General features: G+C 36.2%; 1 protein-coding gene across 58 annotated transcripts in view, besides 1 other annotated feature; it reads right to left on the reverse strand.

Annotated features, from left to right (window-relative positions):
• The window catches only part of TRIP12 (thyroid hormone receptor interactor 12), a 159,350-nt gene that overhangs the window by 45,054 nt on the left and 92,992 nt on the right, over nt 1-21,304 (reverse strand). For all 58 annotated transcript variants that reach the window (NM_001284216.2, XM_047446397.1, XM_047446395.1 and 55 more), the window contains 8 exons: nt 20,303-20,398; nt 9,474-9,622; nt 6,383-6,418; nt 6,209-6,304; nt 5,343-5,435; nt 4,980-5,141; nt 2,246-2,314; nt 1,990-2,155 (listed from right to left, as the gene is read on the reverse strand). In NM_001284216.2, coding sequence (NP_001271145.1) covers nt 1,990-2,155; nt 2,246-2,314; nt 4,980-5,141; nt 5,343-5,435; nt 6,209-6,304; nt 6,383-6,418; nt 9,474-9,622; nt 20,303-20,398 — 867 coding nt within the window. The remainder of the gene's footprint in view (nt 1-1,989; nt 2,156-2,245; nt 2,315-4,979; nt 5,142-5,342; nt 5,436-6,208; nt 6,305-6,382; nt 6,419-9,473; nt 9,623-20,302; nt 20,399-21,304) is intronic.
• Nucleotides 13,339-13,539: a silencer, noted in NCBI's record as "peak4073 fragment used in MPRA reporter construct". NCBI's record gives its function as "represses an SCP1 promoter by STARR-seq MPRAs in K562 erythroleukemia cells {active_cell/tissue: K562}" and the evidence as "EXISTENCE:reporter gene assay evidence [ECO:0000049][PMID:32103011]".

Below are 21,304 nucleotides of genomic sequence, written 5' to 3' on the forward strand. Positions count from 1 at the left end.
GTAAGTTTCCATTCCCAGAAGACATCATTTTCTGGAGGACTCTGCGTGATAACCACGCAGATGTGCTGACACTGTGAGTGGAGGGAACTCTCAGTCTCTACCGTTTAGTCAGTCTAAACCTAAGGAAAGCTGAAACCTAAAGACACAGCTGGGTCTTTGCTGATTGTGTGTGTGTTCCTGTAAATATTATACATATGCAAAATATACATAAACATTTTATTAGAATGTTTTGCCAATAATCAGTAAGTTCTGTTATCAAGAAAAATATTCATTAATGATTTGGGCAGAGATGTGGATAGTGAACTGCCTGCCACACAGAATTTCACAATTAGTGATTAAGATTTTTTTTTTAATTACAGTTTTGCAACTTTATAGAGAAGTTTGAATACATGGTATGCTGCATTATAAGGATTTTATTTTTTTTAGAAGTCAAGGGATGACAACAAAATAGAGACAGATAGAAGAGGCCTACATTTCCTTTTATAGGGTTATTACAGTAAACAACTATGGTGACCTCCATATGATAAACATGTGGTAAACTGCCTGGAGCATGCAAAAGAGGTGAACATATACTAAAAGAAAAAAAATGTTAAAACAAAAGGCAGGCAGCAATTTCCCAAACTAGTATTTAGGGATGTGCTGTAACAAAACATACATTAACAAGAAATAATCTCTCTTACATGATTCAGGAAATGTTGGGATAAGCAAGGTTCAAAGAACTCCTAGAGACTTTAGTAAGTAAAATGAATTGCGGATACTCAAGAAAGAGTTGAACCTTTCCCAATCTTATTTAGGGAAAGAGCACTTTCTTCAGGACCACTCAAAATAGGGTTGTCTGGAATACCAAGTTTGGAAAAGACTCAATGCTTTACGGAGAATCTTTCCAAGTAGCCACCTCAACATTATTTTTCTACAAAGTTCTGTGCCAATGTGTTAATTCACAAGAAAAGCAACTAAATATAAAACTGAGTTCCCCTAAAATGAAAATACTATACTGCTAAATATACTGTCTCAGACAGTACGAGACCACTCAGACAGAGTGGGACCAAAGACCATTTTATCAGTTAATATCATCACTGACTCCCAAGGTAACATCCATAGAGATTAGAATTATGGCTATGAAATTACAAACAATTAAAGGTATTCTATACAAAAGTGATCAATACTCTACTAGAACTAATCATAACAGCCAGGTGTGATGGCTCATGCCTATAATCCTAGTACTATGGGAGGCCAAGGCGGGAGGAAGGCCTGAGGCCAGGACTTCAAGAACAGCCTAGGCAATACAGTGAGACCTTGTCTCTGCAAAAAGTTAAAAAGAAGAAAAAAATTATAACGTATAGATGTTGTCTGATGCCCCACCATTCTCTGACATCAACTTAAGTCTAAGGATTGAGAGAGGAATGGTCAACTGCAAGAGCATTGCAATAAAATTTTATTTCCCACACACTGTGTAAAGGTTTAGAAATACCTTTCTAAATTTGAAAGGTTTAATTTGAAAGGTCTAAATTTGAAAAGGTTTAGAAATACCAAATTAGCAAACATCAGAGACATTCATCAGTATAAATACATTCCTACTTTTTGAGGGAAGACAGCATTCTGGAATCAGAAAAATTGCTAGAAAATCTAACATGGGCAGAAAAAGCAACCTATATAAGCTGAAGACAGCTGGTTATTGGTTAACATAAAACTCAGAATTCTCCTAATCAAGGATGGTTACATGACTAACATGGCATAGATATTAATGACTTTGTATTGTTAGCCCCAGAAACACCAAGGGCAAACATTTAATTTATACTTTAAAAGGAGTATGTTAGAAACATTAACATACTGTCCCAACACAAATTTATTACATATTAACACTTTTCTTTACTATCCAATGCCTATAATATTAGTAATCTCTTCCATTTGCTCGGCTTATGTTGACTTTACATATTAATGAAGAACCAACTTTTCCTGCTTAAAGTAGAACAGTAAATTTGCACTTACTTTGTTTCATAAGTTGAACAGCTAAAGTTGGACAGTTGGAACACATCAGAGAAAACATGCGAACCACCATTATAAACATCCCAGAACTTAAAATGGGTGGAGTCACTACCAACAGCTGTTGAACATTTGTAAGCAGATCTTTGGAAGCAACCTGCTGGAGTAAATTCTTCACAAACACAAGAATAAAGGAATTATTACATCAAGATTCAGCAATTCAACAACCTCATAAAAATACTACCAAAGACTAAACACTTACCTCCTCATGCTGGAAGTTGTCCACTAGGCGTGCAAAACAAAGGCAAGTGCTTTCTACTGACTTTTTATCCTATTTTTTTAATAAAGGAAAATAAAATTTATTAGCATAAAGCATTTTCACTGTCATGTATCACTACTTTATCTTCCTCCTAACCCCAGATTCTTCAAGGCAAGCTCAATTAGTAAATGACAGCTTTGAAAATGCAAATGGGCCTAAGCAAGGTACAGTCAGTAACATCACAATTTCAAAACAAACAGGAAACAAACCAACCTCTCTCTTGTATAAAGGCCCCTACTAGATAAAAGCAAATACACAGAAAAGGAAGAACTATTATGCTTACACAATCTCAATACCTAAACAAATGTTATACTAAAGAAATATATAAATATCCTACTTTCCTTTAAAACCATTACAAGTAGAAATGTTTAAGTGGGTGCACACTAAAAAGTTAGAAAAAGGAAAGTTGCGAGAACCAGAGGTTTCTTGACAATGTTAAAAATAGGGCATAGACTTGCAATATTCACTATAAAAACAAATAATTCACTATGAAAAAGTTACACTATGAAAACAATTTGCCATATTTGTCATAAAAACAGAGTGGCATCACTGACAAAACATTTGAAATAAGTGTCATAAAAAGAAGGGAAAGAATGTTTTACTGGCTAATGTTTTGATAGATCTTGATTTTTCCTAACTTGAAAGTGGAATTTTCATATGTAAAAATTAGACTTGTTTCTACAAAAATGAGAATAATTCAGATATTATAAAAGCCTATAGCCTAAACCTTCACTGACACTACATAAATCAAGAAAGAGTGCTACAAATTGTGACTATTTAAGTTCTCTAATTCTTTTATCTTATTTCTAAAGAATATCATATGGAACTGATTATCACATAACAGAGAACACGCTTTTAGACTACAGAAAAGATTATCTCAACTATGTTTTTATTTATTTATTATTATTATTTTTGAGACAGAGTTTCGCTCTTGTTACCCAGGCTGGAGTGCAATGGCACGATCTCAGCTCACTGCAAACCTCTGCCTCCCGAGATCAAGCGATCCTCCTGCCTCAGCCTCCTGAGTAGCTGGGATGGACCACCACACCCGGCTAATTTTTTATTTTTAGTACAGATGGGGTTTCAGCATGTTGGTCAGGCTGGTCTCTAACTCTTGACCTCAGGTGATCCACCTGCCTTGGCCTCCCAAAGTGCTGGGATTACAGGTGCGAGTCACTGTGCCCCCAGCCAACTATGTTTTTTAAAAATAAACACATAAACAGATTTTTAAAAAATGAATAGTACTACTTTGTCTTGATCATTTTAGAAGCAAAAGGCTCTAGAGTGATTCAATGATCACTACTATTTTATCTTACATAAATCCCTTATTTGGTCGGGTGCCATGGCTTAGGCCTGTAATCCCAGCACTTTGGGAGGCTGAGACAGGTGGATCACTTGAGTGCAGGAGTTTGAGACCAGCCTGGCCAACATGGCGAAACCCTGTCTCTACTAAAAACACAAAAATTAGCTGGGCGTGGTGGCACGCAACTGTAATCCCAGCTATTCAGGAGGCTGAGGCAGAAGAATCGCTTGAACCAGGGAGGCAGAGGCTGCAGTGAGATCACGCCACTGCACTTCAGCCTGGGCAACAGAGTAAGACTCAGTCTCAAAAACAAAAACAAAACAGAACAAAAAAAAATTCCTAAATTGTTTAAAAATATTTTTATGAACCTATTTTCCCTGGGTTAGCCACACTTTGTAATGGCAATTTTAAAGCCAGGTTTCTAGAAATATCTTTAGCAATAACAAACAACGCTTTAAAATATTTCTCTGTAGCTAAAAAAAAATTCAATTTCTCCATAGCCTTGAAGCTGTACTCACAATTTGTCCTCACCATCCCCGGCCCATAAACCCTGCTTTTCACACTGTTATCATCAGGTCCATTGATTCTGCCACCTAGATAATCACTTTTGCTCTTCTCCAACCCCAGATAGCCACAAACTACATTTTTCATTTCTGTTTGGGACATAGTCTAGTCTCTCTTCTGGTCTTAACCCATATTCTCCTGCTCCCATCTGCCTCCTCCAATGCCTCTCAAGAAAGAGTAATCTTTTCAGAAGGAACTTCTGATCATATCACAGAGTAAACACTCAATGTTTGCTGAAATAACAAAGCCATCCCTTAAAAGTCAAAATTGTTAAAGTCATCAAACATATGAATTACTATTCATTTGAATAAATCTACCAAAATTTTATAAAATAACCTAATATGGCACATAACTGGATAAAAATAAAAAATATCAGAACATTTTCGATTATATATGCAGTTAAAGATTTAAAATACTAATTGAAATTGTCATTTAAAAAAGTGGCTGGGCGCGGTAGCTCACGCCTGTAATCCCAGCACTATGGGGGGCTGAGGTGGGTGGATCACCTGAGGTCAGGAGTTCAAGACCAGCCTGGCCAACATAGCAAAACCCCATCTCTACTAAAAATACAAAAATGAGCTGGGTGTGGTGGCACACGCCTGTAATCCCAGCTACTCGGGAAGCTGAGGCAGGAGAATCGCTTGAACCCAGGAGGCGGAGGTGGCAGTGAGCTGAGATCACACCACTGCACTCTAGCCTGGGTAACAGAGCGAGACTCCCATCTCAAAAAAATAAAATAAAATAAAATATAAAATTAAAAAAATTAGTAATAAAACACTTTATGGCACATAAAATAGATGCATATTTTACCTGATGTGTTAGCCTTTGGGTTAGCAATGGGAGTGAATCTGCCACAAAATGAAATTCATCTGGCGTGATACTCTGGCAGCAATTAGCTGCAATTGCTAATGCATTTCTTTGGGCATTTATGCTGAAGAATTCTAGGTACAGCAAGCAGTCTGCCAAACCACCCTAAAATATAGAAAACTGTTAAGGTAAAGAAAAATCCTTTATCAGCAATAAAAAATAATTTAACTCATAAAAAGTCTAGCACATTACTCTGGAAACAACATTTGTATCTTACAAAAACTGCAATCAAGTAGCCTGTACAAATGTGGATTTTAAAAATTCTACATAAAGTGAAATGTAGTCCCCTTCAGTAACAACACTTACCGCCTGTAGAATGGCTTTACTATGTCTCCGTGACAACATCTCCAAGGCAGTCAAGGCCTGCTCTGCCACATCAATACACTGAATAACTTGCAGCTGGGAACATATATATAGTTACCATAAGGTTATCATTTAAGTTCTTTCCCAATAACTTATCTTCTACATATTTTCTCTAATTTACATCCATGTATACTATCTCTAACATGTAACCCACCATAGGATGCAAGTCACTTAGCAGCTTAAGCTACAAAGTATAGCCAAAACAGTTTCCTTCTAACCAGTTTGCAGTTCTAAGATACTGAAAAATATGTTTTACATAATAAACCAAACCCAATTACATAACTTTTAAATCTTCAGATTTAAAATAGATGAGTTGTTTTACACAACAAAATTTTAAAATCAGATTTTAACTTTACACCATACTGCAAGTTTATCAGATAAAGCAAATTTTGTTGTGCGTTAAACAAACAAAAAGGTCCGTAAGACAGACCAAAAACACAATTTACTAGAAACCATATGAAAATTTCTATTCCCCACTGATTCAACTTTCTCAGCTACATAATGAGGGTATAAATAGCTATCAACCTCACTGGCATGTTTTCTAGAAATTAGATTATTTTTAATCAAGTACTTTAAAGTTCTTCTCTGAAAGTTATTATATTAATGTGCTAATTATTACTAAAAATTACAAAACTAGGCTGATTCTATCAATGATTTATCTTCACCTTCAAACTATTGATCTGCTGGACATAAAACATTTCTCGGGCTAAAAAATATACTTTATTTAGAAAATGAAAGCTAAAATTCAAGAGTTTGAAACTTGACTCCCTATGCCTGCTTTTGAACAAACGGGGTAAAAGTAGGATCACCTTTTCTAAAAAGACAGGAATAGCATCTACTACAACAGCAGAAGATCGAGGAAGTGCTTCCATCATGTATGTTAAGGCTCGACAAGCATGGTTCATCTAGAAAAGAAGAGATTTTAATGAGTAAAAACTCAAAACTTAAATATACACCATTAAAAAAATACAATATATACTTACAATATCAAAATTGTGCTCCATCTGAAGTAACGTAATCTGTTAAAAAGATAACAAAATATTAGAAGCTATATTCCTTGGGAAAATCCTAGAGGTATTTCTTCCTCTTCTATTTGAACTTCAACTGAAATGGAAGTATTATTCCTAACTTTTACCACACAAAAATAACTTTAAGATAAAACCTAGTAGGCGTTCACAGAAATGATTACACTCAGGATGGTTCATCACACACGGTGACTCCGACTTGAGTATGCTGCTAGATAACCATCACCTCGTGATACAGGTCACAAACAAAGCCTTCTTGTTACTTACAACCTATCCTTTTGGTAGCTCTAACCCCTTTCAGAAGCCTATTAATATATCCCTGAGGACTTACTAGTGCTAATAAATACTAGATACATAAATAAACAGGATCAGCAATGCACTGACATTTGTTAACAAATGTCAGCACAGATTCAGGACCATAACTTAAACTCTTGTGAACAAGCTTCTCTAAAACAGATAAGCACCATTTGACTCAGCTTTAAAATGTACAGTAATATAGAATTTAAACATAAGATAGATCACATCAGAAACTAATTATGCACTAATTAAAGCCAAATTAATATAATTACTCCATATATGCATGAATAAGTTTAAATATCTGATTTCATTTTAGTTTTTCTTGTGGAAAAGATCTTAAGCAGATTTCAGGTATGTTTTTCTAATGAAGGAATGCAAAACTGCTGAGGATACACACTCTGTCCTCTCGAAGCAGCTGAGTCACCAAAGAAATTTCCTCCTTGGGGATAAGACAGTCATTCACTGTCTTCTGGTTCAATGGAAATTTTTAAATGCACTGAATTGAAGCTTGTTAAGTACCCTTCAATTAAATTTATAATGACAACAACAAACATCAGATATTCTAACACCATACTCACTCAATATGAATGTCTTCTCAGCTGTGAATTGTGCTGGGTAAAGTATACCTACATACCAGAAGTCCTAAGGACTATTTTTGTTTAAAAGCACACACACAAACAGCATAACACATACACACACTCCATTTCAGGACTTAAAAAAAAAAAAAAAACTATCAAATCACTTAATGTCAGTCACTTAAAACACTTAGTCTAATTTGAAAGGGGCTGTCATGTTAAAAGAAAAAGTACTAAGTTCCCCAATTATTAAATAACCTTGTTATACTGTGTTTGGGAATGACTGATATAAACAGATACCCTTTCACCAAAAATGGCTATTTATGTCACATGACTGTATTGTGATGAAGAGATATAAATAATATTCAACTGTGATAAAAGATATATCTGAAGAACTCATTAATAACAGCCATTATTAATAGCGAGAGCATACTTGTGCAAGTCAATTAGGTACTTAAATCTAATTAACAACCAGCACATTAAGTAAAGTGAATTATGTGTCAACATTTCTGCCTAGACTTAATGGCTTCTTTATTTAACTAATAAAAACTAAATTTTAACTGTAGATAGTATAAGGTAAGCCTAGTTATTTGTTGCTAGTTCTTAGTGAACAAACAACAATAACAATAAAACAAATGAAAGTTTGATTCAGGTCACAGAAGCCAGCTATTGAACAAATCAGCAAACTGAGAATGGACATTAACACAGGCAAAATCTGAAAGTTGAAAGGTTAATAATATTGCTATTATGAAACACTCAGAAAGCAACATGTACAACTTTGACTAGAATGGAAATGATAAAATTTGATAACTGGCTTTTATTATCTGCATCTGGGTGGCAGGTGAAGAAATTGTTCTATCCTTTATCAAACTCTGCCAGAGCTGAGCCATCCAAATAAGAACAAGCAGAATAAGGATTGTCACCTTGTATTTCACAGGCTTTTCTTTACTCAGCTCTCTCACCAAAACTCAAGCTATCTCCATAATTTGATAATCTCATCAAATGGGACAATATGATGTATAAATCATAACTTCATTTTCTGTCAGCTTTACTGGATATACAAAAAAGATTTACATGGCATTTAACTGTAATTTCCAAAATAAAACATACCACAAATGTAAATGTTTATGTTTGTCTTTTGGTAGTGTTTGATTTAGACTCAAATTTTAATCTTAAATTATACCTAATTTCTTTAATTTTGGACAAAGAAAATTATCAATCCACTATTTAAATGCTGTATTGTGCTAAGGTGCCTACATTTGATAATGGCAATTTTTCTTCCTATTGTTTTCATATTTAAAAGTTTAAGGAATCAAGCTGTTAATAAATCTATCATATCAAAATATCAACTCACAACTGTGTTGAAAAGGCATTAAAAAGATTTTTTAAAGTCTTTTATTTCTTTTTCTGAGACAAGAGTTTTGCTCCTGTTGCCCAGGCTGGAGTGCAGTGGCGCGATCTTGGCTCACTGCAAGAGATTAGAGCGATTCTCTGCCTTCCAGGTTCAAGTGACTGTCCTGCCTCAGCCTCCTGAGTAGCTGAGATCTACAGGCACCTGCAACCATGCCCGGCTAATTTTTGTATTTTTAGTAGAGATGGGGTTTCACCATGTTGGCCAGCCTGGTCTCCAACTCCTGACCTCAGAAGATCCACCTACCTCGGTCTCCCAAAGTATTGGGATTACAGGCGTCAGACATTGCCACTGGCCAACATAAAAGCTTTTAAACTGAAAGGATCCACATATATACCATATGGCTTGAGTAGTATTCCCATGTAGACACGTACTAAATATGAAACCTTTCTGGCCCCCCGACACAACCCAGAGTGAGCTTCCCTGGCCTATTGCTCCGTGGATCACCAGGCTAAAAGAAAAAGCATGTGCATTTTACATGGCAGGAGTCAAGGTTACTGATGAGGTGAACAACTTAAAACCAGTCATTTAAGTATCAAGAAGTGGGTGACTATTCATCAAAAAAATGATTTAGAAAATTTGCTAACTCATTAGCAATTGCTCACAGTATCTGTAAGCATGAAATACAAGCACCAAGTCATATACTCCTCTCTTAACTCTATCATGTTTTAAAAATTAATAATGACAATAATCATACATTCAGTACAAAATCGGCAGATTTCAGAGGACAAATGAGGTAAAAACGAGGGAAAAACATTATGCTTACCAAAGCTGGAACAACACTCTTGACAGGAAACCCTCCCAGTGTCTCCTCATTTCCCATGACCAGTAACTGACACATCTCAATAACTGCCTGAAGCTGTTGACTTTCATCACTGGCTTGCAATCCTTGTAGTAGCTGCTGGGCCTTAGAACCTTTAGAGAAAAAAATAATTATTATCTTTAAACATTTAAGAAAATTATTACTAGGTATAAGGTGTGACTCGAAATGTAATTGGTTGCTTATCTTCTTTGCATCCTAATGAAAGACTAGGTCTATACCAGGGTTAAGGCTCACTGCTAATACATTGAAGGAAGAATTAAATTAGTTGGATCTACTCTGCCTTAACATGCTTTCACAGTTATATACTTCTGTCTTCTTAATTGAAAACTTGACTGGTTTTACAGCAAAAACAAAAAATAATATCCCTAAGACCAGTATGAACTGATAGCTTTAACATTATCTGTTTTAAGGAAATATCAATTGTGAGCAAAGGCTTGCTACAATAATAAAAACCTGTTAAACAATGATGCCCATACTTCAAAGGAAATGTTATACACCTCTAAATATCTGTTCCAGAATAAATAGAATCCAATTAACAATGAAAGGGCAAGGAAATAAAAAACACAACAACGTATCTAACAAAAAAGAGAATGGAAAGAATATTCTGTAAAAATAAAAACCACACACACACACACACACACACACACACACACACACACACACACAATTATAAACCCTTGCATCCTCTTTCATTTCCTGCACAGATGATGGCTATTAGAATGTTCCTACTTTTAAGACTTAATTCCACTACTCCAACAATTGAAAAATGTGAATACTCAACAACCACAGAGAAGTACGTTGTCATTAAGCTAAACAATACACTCCAAAATAAAGTCTAGAGAGGCTGGGTGCAGTGGCTCATGCCTGTAATCCAAGCACTTTGGGAGGCCAAGGCAAGTGGATCACTTGAGGTCAGGAGTTTGAGACCAACCTGGCCAACATGGCGAAACCGCATCTCCACTAAAAATACAAAAATTAGCCGAGCGCAGTGGTGTGCACCTGTAGTCCCAGATACGCAGGAGGCTGAGGCAGGAGAACTGCTTGAACCTGAGAGGCAGAGGTTGCAGTGAGCCGAGATCATGTCACTGCACTCCAGACTGGGCCACAGACTGAGACTTCATCTCAAAATTAATTAATTAATTTTAAAAAATAAAGTCTATGAATGTGTTTCATTTTTCATGGACACTTTCCTACTTGAAACCACAATTAATTAAATTAACACTTAACCAATCTTATATGATGTTACTTTTAAAGCTCCTTCACTTCTTACACCTTTTCAAGTTATTCTTCGCAAATTGGACTTTTCCAGTCCTATATCATTGAGTACTGAAATGTGTAGAAATGGGATATATGTCTGGAAACTGTCAATGAATGTGAAATTCTCAAAAAACTGAACCTAATAATTTCAACTGAGCTTCAGTGATATTCCTGGGGGCGTACACCTCTCACAGGGGCACATAGCAATCAATGGAAGTTGTTTTATGGTTTAAGATTGTGGCTACTGCATTCCATAGCTATCGCTGCCTACCTACCTTTACCATAATTAAAAATCCATCCAAAAATACACCAGAAGAAAAGTTCAGGGAAATACAATTTAACAATTTTAAACTAAATAATACCAATTTTAGTGACAGCAGGTTTATCACTTCTGTGTTGACATAATGTGGAAGGAAAAACAAAATGATAGAAAAATAGTGAAAACAAATGAATCCTCCACTGATTCTAACATGACTTTAAAAGGATTAAACAGTTCATATCAAGTATGGCCTAAGAGCACAACCCCCTAAAAGAAAGAACCAACATGTATGCAACTAGATGGAGGTCTTATAACCATTGGGGTTGGCAACTCTTAAGGACATGGATCTTATACAGCATAATCAAAATTATCATCAATACCAATAAAACATCTGGGATGTTCCTAAAAATAACTTACACTAAACTGAAGATGACAACAAAAAGCCAAAACCATAACCAAAACCTGATTTATCCTCTGATTTATGAGGAGAAACCAACTCCTAGAGCAGTGGATTTTGAATTTAGAATCATTTTATACTCTTAAAAACTACTGAGGTACCACAAAGCACTTTTGTTTATGTGGGTTATATTTATTGATAATTTTAAAATATGTTAATTGAAATACAAAAATTTTAAATATTTGCCAGTTAACTCATTATATATTAATATAAATAATTTTGATTTTAAAAGACCTTATTTTCCAAAACAAGTGGTGCGGTCTCAGCTCACTGCAACCTCTGCCTTCTGGGTTCCAGCGATTCTCCTGCCTCAGCCTCCCAAGTAGCTGGGATTACAGGCACAAGCCAACACACGTGGCTAATTTTTCTGTATTTTTAGTAGAGATGGGTTTCACCATGTTGGCCAGGCTGGTAGTGAACTCCTGACCTCAGGTGATCTGCCCACCTCGGCCTCCCAAAGTGCTGGGATTACAGACATGAGCCACCGCGCCTGGCCCAAACACTGTATTTCCAATCTGAATTTGGTTGCTAATGTAGAACTCATGGATACAGAAAGCTAACTGTATTTATTTTTAAAATCCATGAATAAGTGGACCCAGCACAGTTCAAACTCATATTGTTCAAGAGTCAACTGTATATAGAAAAGATTGGCCTTATTTTGTTCCAAAGAGTATTAAAAAGACATGTCTTGGGAGTAAAGACCTAATTAAATTAACTTTGGTTCAGTAAGGGCATCTTAGATAAAAACTGAATTATATTTATTAGGAGTATGTGGCAGTGAAAAACACAATGATTGCTAGTACCGTTTAGTGCCACTGCTTTGATGCTTAAGATCCCACCAGTTTTACCCATTACAGCTTTTGCACCATCAGTTCAAACATCAATGAAGTAGAAAAGGAAAAATCTTGGTAACTATTATTAGTTTTGACCTTATAGAACTCATTTAAGGGTCTCTCTCAGAAACCAAGAGTCCACAGATCACACTTTGAGAACTGTTATCACAGATCAGGGTTTGGCAGGAAAACGTTCTCTTTCAAGGGAGAGATAGCAATTATTTTGGGCTTTACAGGCATATGGTCTCTACTGCAACTACTCAACTCTAGCACTGTAGCTGGAAAGTATCCATAGAAAGTAAGACTAATACAAACAAATGAACATGACTGTATACCAATAAAACATTATGGACACTGAAATTTGATCTGCATTTAATTTTCACATCACAAAATATTCTCTTTTAAAATGTTTTCAGCCACGTAAAATATAAAACCCATTCTTAAGAGTACACAGGTAGTATAAAAACAAGCAGGAGCGTGGATTTGGCCCTTGGGCAGTAGTTTGCTAATTTCTGATAGGAATGGAAACAGAAGCCTATAGTGCTTTAGGGAGTCACAAGAAGCTAATGTGTTGAAATCAACTGGCCCACAGACAGGTACCGAGTTCTGGAACTGTGAAAACTGATAGAGGGGCCAGATACCCTGGCTCACACCTGTAATCCCAGCACTTTGGGAGGCCAAGATGGGCGGATCACCTGAGGTCAGGAGTTTGAGAACAGCCTGGCCAGCATGGTGAAACGCTGTTTCTACTAAAAATACAAAAATTAGCCGGGCGCGGTGGTGTGCACCTGCAGTCCCAGATACGTGGGAGGCTGAAGCACAAGAATCACTTGAACTCGGGAGGCAGAGGTTGCAGTGAACCAAGTTCACGTCGCTGCACTCCAGCATGAGCGACAAGAGCGAGACTCCGTCTCAAAACAAACAAACAAACAAACAAAAAACTGATAGAGGGGAGAGTAAGAAGTTTTGATAAGATAGAAGAAAATCTTCTGCAGTCTCATGGTGCTCAGAAGCCAACATCTCAACAGAGAGAGTAGGCGTCAAAGACACACAGCTGGTACCTGAACTCCCAAGATAATCTGCCACATTTTGAGACTGCTCAACTATTCAAATCTGAACTCCCAAGATACTTGCCACATTTTGAGACTGCTCAACTATTCAAATCTGAGGAGACATAGATTTGCAAAGTTGTCAATCAAAATTCTAGGAGGGCCACAACAAAGAAAACAGTGACTAGCAAGAGGTGAAATGAGTCATACCAAAATTACCAGAGGTGAAATTAGTCATACCAAAATTACAACTCTGGTTAAAACAAGCTCAAGTCCTGATTAAAGTTAGAGTGATCAGCTCTGGACCCTTTATTTTTGGTAGAGAAAAAAGAAAGCTAGCACTAGCAGAAAATATCATTTTGGGCCACTTTAGTTCTTTTATACAAAACGTCTGTCACATAACCAAACAATTACTAGACTTATAAAGAGGCAGGAATATGGGACTGAGAATTAAGTGGGGGAAAAAAAGACAATAAAAGCAGACCAATACTTCTAGAATGAAAAGACAAATGTTTTATAAAGTATTAAAAATACAAGCAAAGATGGACAAAATTGATTAAGAATATACACATTTTCAACAGATGATTGGCATCTATAAAGAGAATCAAAAAACTATTCAGAACTGAAAAACGTATCTGAAATTAAGAACTCATTGACGGGTTTAACAAAAGATTGAAGACAGCAGAAAAAAGAACTAGTGAATTTAAAAACTGATCAATAGGAAGTTTTCCAACTAGGCAAAGAGAAAAAATTCTGAAAACAAAACCAAAAATAAAACAGAGCCAGAGAGACATGCTGGATGCAGTGTAAAGTTTAAATGTGTATGATCCTGATACTCTCCAAAAGGAAAGGAAGGAGAAAATCTGATGATGAGATAAGAGAAACAATACTAGAAGAAATAATGACCAAGAATTTTCTAAAACTGAAGATATCAACTCACATATTCAAAAGTTCAGTGAAGGGCAAGCACATTAAGGGTCAAGGAAACATCACTTAAACCCTATATAGTCAAGCTATTAAAAAATAAGTGGTTTTTACATTTTTTTTGAGACAGGGTCCCATGCTGGATTGCAGTAGCCCGATCTCGGCTAACTGCAACCTCTGCTTCCTAGGCTTGGCCAGGCATGGTGGCTCACGCCTGTAGTCCCAGCATTTTGAGAGGCCGAGGTGGGGTGGATCAGGAGGTCAGGAAATCGAGACCATCCTGGCTAACACGGTGAAACCCTATCTCTACCAAAAATAAAAAAAAAATTAGCCAGGTGTGGTGGCAGGCACCTGTAGTCCCAGCTACTCGGGAGGTTGACGCAGAAGAATGGCGTGAACCCGGGAGGCGGAGCTTGCAGTGAGCTGAGATCGCGCCACTGCACTCCAACCTGGGCAACAGAGGAGACTCTGTCTCAAAAAAAAAAAACAACAACAACAACAAAAAATAAGTGCAAATAAAGCACATGCCTGTAACCCCAGCAACTTAGAAACTGAAGCGGGAGGATCACTTGAGGCCAAGGGTCTGCGACTAGCCTGCGCAACATGGCGAGATGGCATCTCATTAATTCATTCATAAATTAATAAAGACACATCAAGGATTTCTCAAACACAGAAAGAAATCATTATTAATAGTCTGACACTATGTTAAAAAAAAAAGTTCTTTAGGCTAGAAGGAAACAATCCTTTAAAGAAAAAAGAAACTGCAAGAAGAAACTAAGAGCACTGCAAAGGTTAAGCATGTTGGCAAACATAAAAGAAAACAGATATTCTAAGTAACGTCCTATCAAGTTTATAACACGTATATATAGGTAAAACAAATTAAATACAACAAACATAAAGGAGGGCAGGAGGTAAAAAGTGTTAATAAACTGTTGTAAGGTTCTTGTACTGTTTGAGATATGATAAAGTATTAATTTAAGGTATGCTATAATAAACCAATGAATTTGCATTATACTCTCTAGGGTACCACTAAAAGAAATATACGAAGATACATATAACTAAAAAAAGTTAATATTAGAGAAACAATGAATTTTGGTAAAAATTCAAAAGCTTGATACCATACTACTGTCATTCACACATGACTGGTGGAAACGCAAAATGGTGCAACTCCAAATGGGGGGGAGTTTGCAACACCTACAAAAACATCGTATGCATTTACACCCATTTAAGCAGCAAACCTGCTTCTAGAAATCTATCCAAAAGATAATGCTTGAAAAAATACGAAAGCTACATTTCACTGAAGCCTTGCCAATAGAAAAAAAAACTGAAAACTCAAATGTCCAACAGGGGACTATATAAATAAACTATGTATACCCACACAATGGAGTAACGTGGCAGCTTTACAAAGGCCTATCAGTTGAACATGCAACATGCATGTGGCAGCTATGAAGAGTGAACACGAAGAGTGAACACCAAAATATAGTGTCAAAAGCAAAGTAAAGTGTATAAAGTTTGCTACTCTTAACTGAGAAAGGCATTCCCATGGACAATATAGATATTTATGGATTTTTTAAAGTAAATAACAGAAGGACAAGGCATAAAATTTAAAAGATTATTTATGTGAGAGGAAGAAGCAGGGAAAATGGAAAGCAAAAGAAGATAAGATTTTTCTAAATATATGTTGTTTGTAGATTTGACTTTTAGAACTATGTAAATATTACATAATTATAAAAGCAAAACATAAATTTTAAAAAGCAGTCCCTAAAAATCAGAAGCAAAATGAAGTAAATGAAACAATCCAACTTGGTGGCATAAACAAAGAGATGGATTTCAAATGACTTTAAAACACATTAATTTTAACACAAAGTAAAAAATATCCCAGGAACAGAAAGAACTGTAAAAACACTTTTTAACTTTTTTAATAATAATACTTTCAGCAGCAACTTGAAATCTCGTACTGTGGGATAAAGCAAATGAGTCACTATATTATAATTATTGGGAATTAGGACACTCACCATTGGAGAAAGGAGACATAACATCAATGAAGTTAAATAAAAACCCTGTAGACCTAAATATGAATTGGTGGTATCAGCATCAACTTTTAAAAGTCTAGAAATAATGGTCAACCCAGTAGAAATGAATATGCCAGACTGTGGTCTCCAAATACAAAATAAACCAAGGATCTATGGGGAAATGAACAATTTCAGGTATGGGGAGTGTATTAGTCCATTCTCACACTTCTATGAAGAAATATCCAAGACTGGATAATTTATAAAGAAAACAGGTTGAATTGACTCACAGTTTGGCATGGCTGGGGAGGCCTCAGGAAACTTACCATCAGTGGAAGGCACTTCCTCACAGGGCAGCAGAAAAAAGAATGAGTGCCAACAGGGGAAATGCCAAATGCTTATAAAACCATCGGATCTAGTGAGAACTCACTATCAGGAGAACAGCATGGGGGAAAACACCCCCATGATTCAATTACCTCCCACTGTGTCCCTCCCAGTGGGGATTATGGGGATTGCAATTCAAGATGAGATTTGGGTGGGTACATAGCCAAATCATAGCAGGGAGAAAAAAATAAGTCAACTGAGTTTGGCACATCTTGTCATACCAGAAAATAAGAGGCTATCAAAAATTACTAAGGTTATGGCCAAAAGATTCAGAAGCCAAACTCAAAAAGATCCCATCATCCAATGCTGGGACAATTCAAGTATCAGTGAAAATCACTGAAATGTTTAATACACATCTCAACCCACTGCTTACAATTATACTTAAAAACAAACATGTTAAAAAGCAAAACAAAAATATAACAATGGCACCTTTGGAGGACATAAAAATTACTCCTTTTATTAACCAGTAAAGAGTGAAAAATAATTTTTCCTGTATCAACTATTGTCCTAGGCAATCAAATAGAAGGTGAGAAGAAGATATCCTTTATATATTTCTACTAAATTATTAATACTTTCTTTACTTCTCATAAATGAAAAGTGATTATTAGTTCTAAAATACTACCATTTTGTAACCCCTATTACATAGGTACTTAGTTTCAACAGCTTGTTAAAATACAGACACTATGTACTTCCTAAGAACACACTATGACTTTTCAATAGGCTTTCTTTACCAAGAAAAGAAGATAAAGGCTCGAAACTCAATCTGAAGAGGTCTCTAGATCCAACAACCAGTTTGCAAGAAATAAATTATGATATTGAGATAATGAAACTTTGACATCTATTGGGTATCTATTATTAAGAAATTACTGTTTTATTTTTTAAGTGTGATAAAGTGACTGTGTGTTTTGAGGAGCATTATCTTGAACTACATGATGAAATTTTATAGATTAAAATTAGGTGTCACTTAACAAATGGGATATGTTCTGAGAAATGCTTTCTTGACCTATTTTGTCATGTAAACATCATAGAGTATACCTAAACCAAGATGGTACAGCCTACTACACACCTAGGCTGTCTAGTTTAGCCCATTGCTCCTAGGCTAGAAACCTGTACAGCATGTTACTTTACTGAATACTATAGGCAGTTGTAATGCGTATTTGTATATGTTAATATATCTACAAATAGAAGAAGTAGAGTAAAAATATGATATAAAAGATTAAAAAATGGTACGTCTGTATAGGGCACTTACCATGAATGGAGTTTACCAGGAATGGAAGTTTCTCTGGGTGAGTGAGTGAATGGTGAGTGAGTGTGAAAGCCTAGACTATATATTACTATCAATTTTGTAAACTGTATATTTATGTATACTAAATTTTTAAGAAATATCTTTCTTAAAGAAATTAACTGGCCAGGCATGGTGGCTCATGCCTGTAATCCTAGCACTTTGGGAGGCTGAGGCAGGCAGATCACAAGGTCAGGAGATCGAGAACATCCTAGCTAACACAGTGAAACCCTGTCTCTACTAAAAATACAAAAAATTAGCCAGACGTGGTGGCACGTGCCTGTAGTCCCAGCTACTGGGGAGGCTGAAGCAGGAGAATCGCTTGAACCTGGGAGGAGTAGGTTGCAGTGAGCTGAGACTGCGCCACTGCACTCCAGCCTGGGAGACAGAGCAAAACTCCGTCTCAAAAAAAAAAAAGAAAAAGAAAAAAGAAATTAACTTTAGTTTCCTGTAACTTTTTTACTTCATAAACTTTTGTTAACTATTTTGTAGTATTAACTAGCTTAAAACACAAACACAATGAACAGCTGTACAAAAACATTTTCTTTCTTTATATCCATAGAGTATAAGCTTTTTCCTATTTTGAAAATTATTATTATTATTATTTTTTTGGTTATTAAACTGTCTTTTAAAACACTCAGACACAAACACGAACATTAACCTAGGCCTGCACGGGATGAAGATCATCGGTATCATTACGTTCTACCTCCACATCTTATGTCCCACTGGAAGGTCTTCAGGGGTGATGACAGGCATGAAGCTGTCATCTCCTATGACAACAATGCCTTCTTCTGGAATACCTACTACTGAGGGTTACAGTTAATGTTCTTCTTTAGTATATAGAAGGAATACATTCTAAATCAAGCTTGTTCAATGCATGGCCCAGGATGGCTTTGAATGCAGCCCAACAAAAATTCGTAAAGTTTCTTAAAATATTGTAAGATTTTTTTTTAAGCTCAACAGCTATCATTAGTGTTATTATAGTTAGGGTTACCGTATTTTATGTGTGGCCCAAGACAATTCTTCTTCTTCCAATGTGGCCCAGGGAAGCAAAAAGACTGGACTCCCCTGGCTCTAAATGATAAAAGTATGGTTTAAAAATCTGTACTGTATATTAGCTAGATGATGAGCATTTTTCAGCTCCATTATAATCTTGTGGGACTAATGTAGTGTGTGTGAACTGTTGTTGAATGAAACATCATCATGCAGCACATGACTGTATATAATGCCTGGGATTCATTTCAAACTAATATGGGAAGAAGGATTAGAATGAGGCTAGAAATAAAGATTAAATATGAAGTAGGCACTGTTGAAGCTGGGTCATGGGCACAAAGAGGTGTGGCATTGTTTTTGACTCTAGTGCTAGTCTACGGTTTATATTAAGTTCATGTGTAAAGGTTGATGGTAAATACAGGTTTCAGATACTTTAAAATCAATACCCTTAGGGACCCCCTGCAACAGTGATTTGTTTTTTTTTTTTTTCCTTTCCAGGCTTCTCCCCAGTGATAAATAAAATCAAATTTCTCTTAAAAACAAACAAACAAACAAAAATCAGGTAAGAAACATTACCTGATTGTAATGTATAGATCATATTTTGATCCAATTCAAGGAAACAGGCCGGGCACAGTGGCTCATGCCTGTAATCCCAGCACTTTGGGAGGCCAAGGTGGGCGGATCACCTGAGGTCAGGAGATCGAGATCAGCCATCCAACATAGTGAAACCCCATCTCTACTAAAAATACAAAAATTAGCCGGGCTTGATGGCACACACCTGTAATCCCAGCTACTCAGGAGGCTGAGGTGGGAGGACTGGACCCGAGAGGCAGAGGTTGCAGTAAGCTGAGATCACGCCACTGCACTCCCGCCTGGACGACAGAGCAAGACTCCATCTCAAAAAAAATATATATATATAAAAAGTACACATGAAAACCAACATCCTTATGTCCAAATATTTAAAGTTATAAAAAATTCAGCTAGCAAACTGTTTAATATTTTATCCTCTCACCTTGACAAATACATCATTATGACAAACTCAAGATTCAAATCTATGCAAAACATGCCATCAGGTGCCATAATTATCAATGTAATTGTTTGAGATTCTTTATTCTTATTTTGTTCAAACAGAATCAATCTCGCTACAAAATCTGGATAATTCAGCAATGAAAGCTGTATTTAAGGTGTGATTGTACACAGCCTTATTTTTAAAAATGGGTTAAAGTTGATGAAAAACTTCTTAATACTTACATCAATAGGTTACAAGTAACAATAGCAGTTGGCTAATTATTGAGGGATTTCAGGGAAGGAACATTTTTACTTACTAGCTCCACTTCCAATTGTTCTATGGAAAAGCTGTGACATCCGAGGACCAAGAGGACCAAATAGGTGAGGGGGAAGACCCCTTGCCTCTAACAAAGCTAAAGAAAAAAGAAGGGCAGAGTGAACAACTAAGATGACTTCATGCAACTGATGTATCTAAAAATTTCAAGTAACTGATTCATCTCGCTTAACTGATTCAGTCAATGTTACTTTGCTTTCTGGACTTTTAAGAGAAGCTACAAACTTTCAAGACCACCCTAATATATTAAATCAGTGCCAGCAGGAATGTGTAAATATTTCAAGAAAAATCTAAGGTAAATATTTTGATATTTTGAAGAGCTAATATGTTAAGCACCCTTGCTCTGTTTTCTGTATGACATTATTTCCCAATCAGATATTGGTCATCAGAACCTATAAAACCATATGAAAACAGTATGATTTTTATTAGTTCCAAAAAGTGAAAACAAAACAAAACAGGCCAGGCATAGTGGCTCACACCTGTAATCCCAGCACTTTGGGAGGCCGAGACGGGAGGATCACCTGAGGTCAGGAGCTCAAGACCAGCCTGGCCAACATGATGAAAGCCCGCCTCTACTAAAAATACAAAAATTAGCCAGGTGCAGTGGCAGGCACCTGTAATTCTAGCTACTCAGGAGGATGAAGCAGGAGAATCATTTGAACACGGGAGGTGGAGTTTGCAGTGAGCTGAGATCGTGCCATTGCACTCCAGCCTGGGCAACAGAGTGAGATTCGGTCTCAAAACAATCAAACAAACAAAAACTATGTGTTCCTGAGAGTCCGAGTCCTAGAGATACTTGTATGTTCCCTCAGGAATTTAAAAGCAATAAAAAATGATTTATAAATAATACATTTATTGTAAGCCTCACACTGAGATCTGTTATAAATCAAATGAGATAAAAATACATACCCATCCATACATAGTATTAGGCTGCTTTTGTAAAAGCATTTGTAACATTAAAAAAACCCTACAATTTGTGTATACA

The sequence above is a fragment of the Homo sapiens genome, chromosome 2 (genome assembly GCF_000001405.40).
Source record: "Homo sapiens chromosome 2, GRCh38.p14 Primary Assembly".
In the NCBI taxonomy this organism is placed as follows: domain Eukaryota; kingdom Metazoa; phylum Chordata; class Mammalia; order Primates; family Hominidae; genus Homo; species Homo sapiens.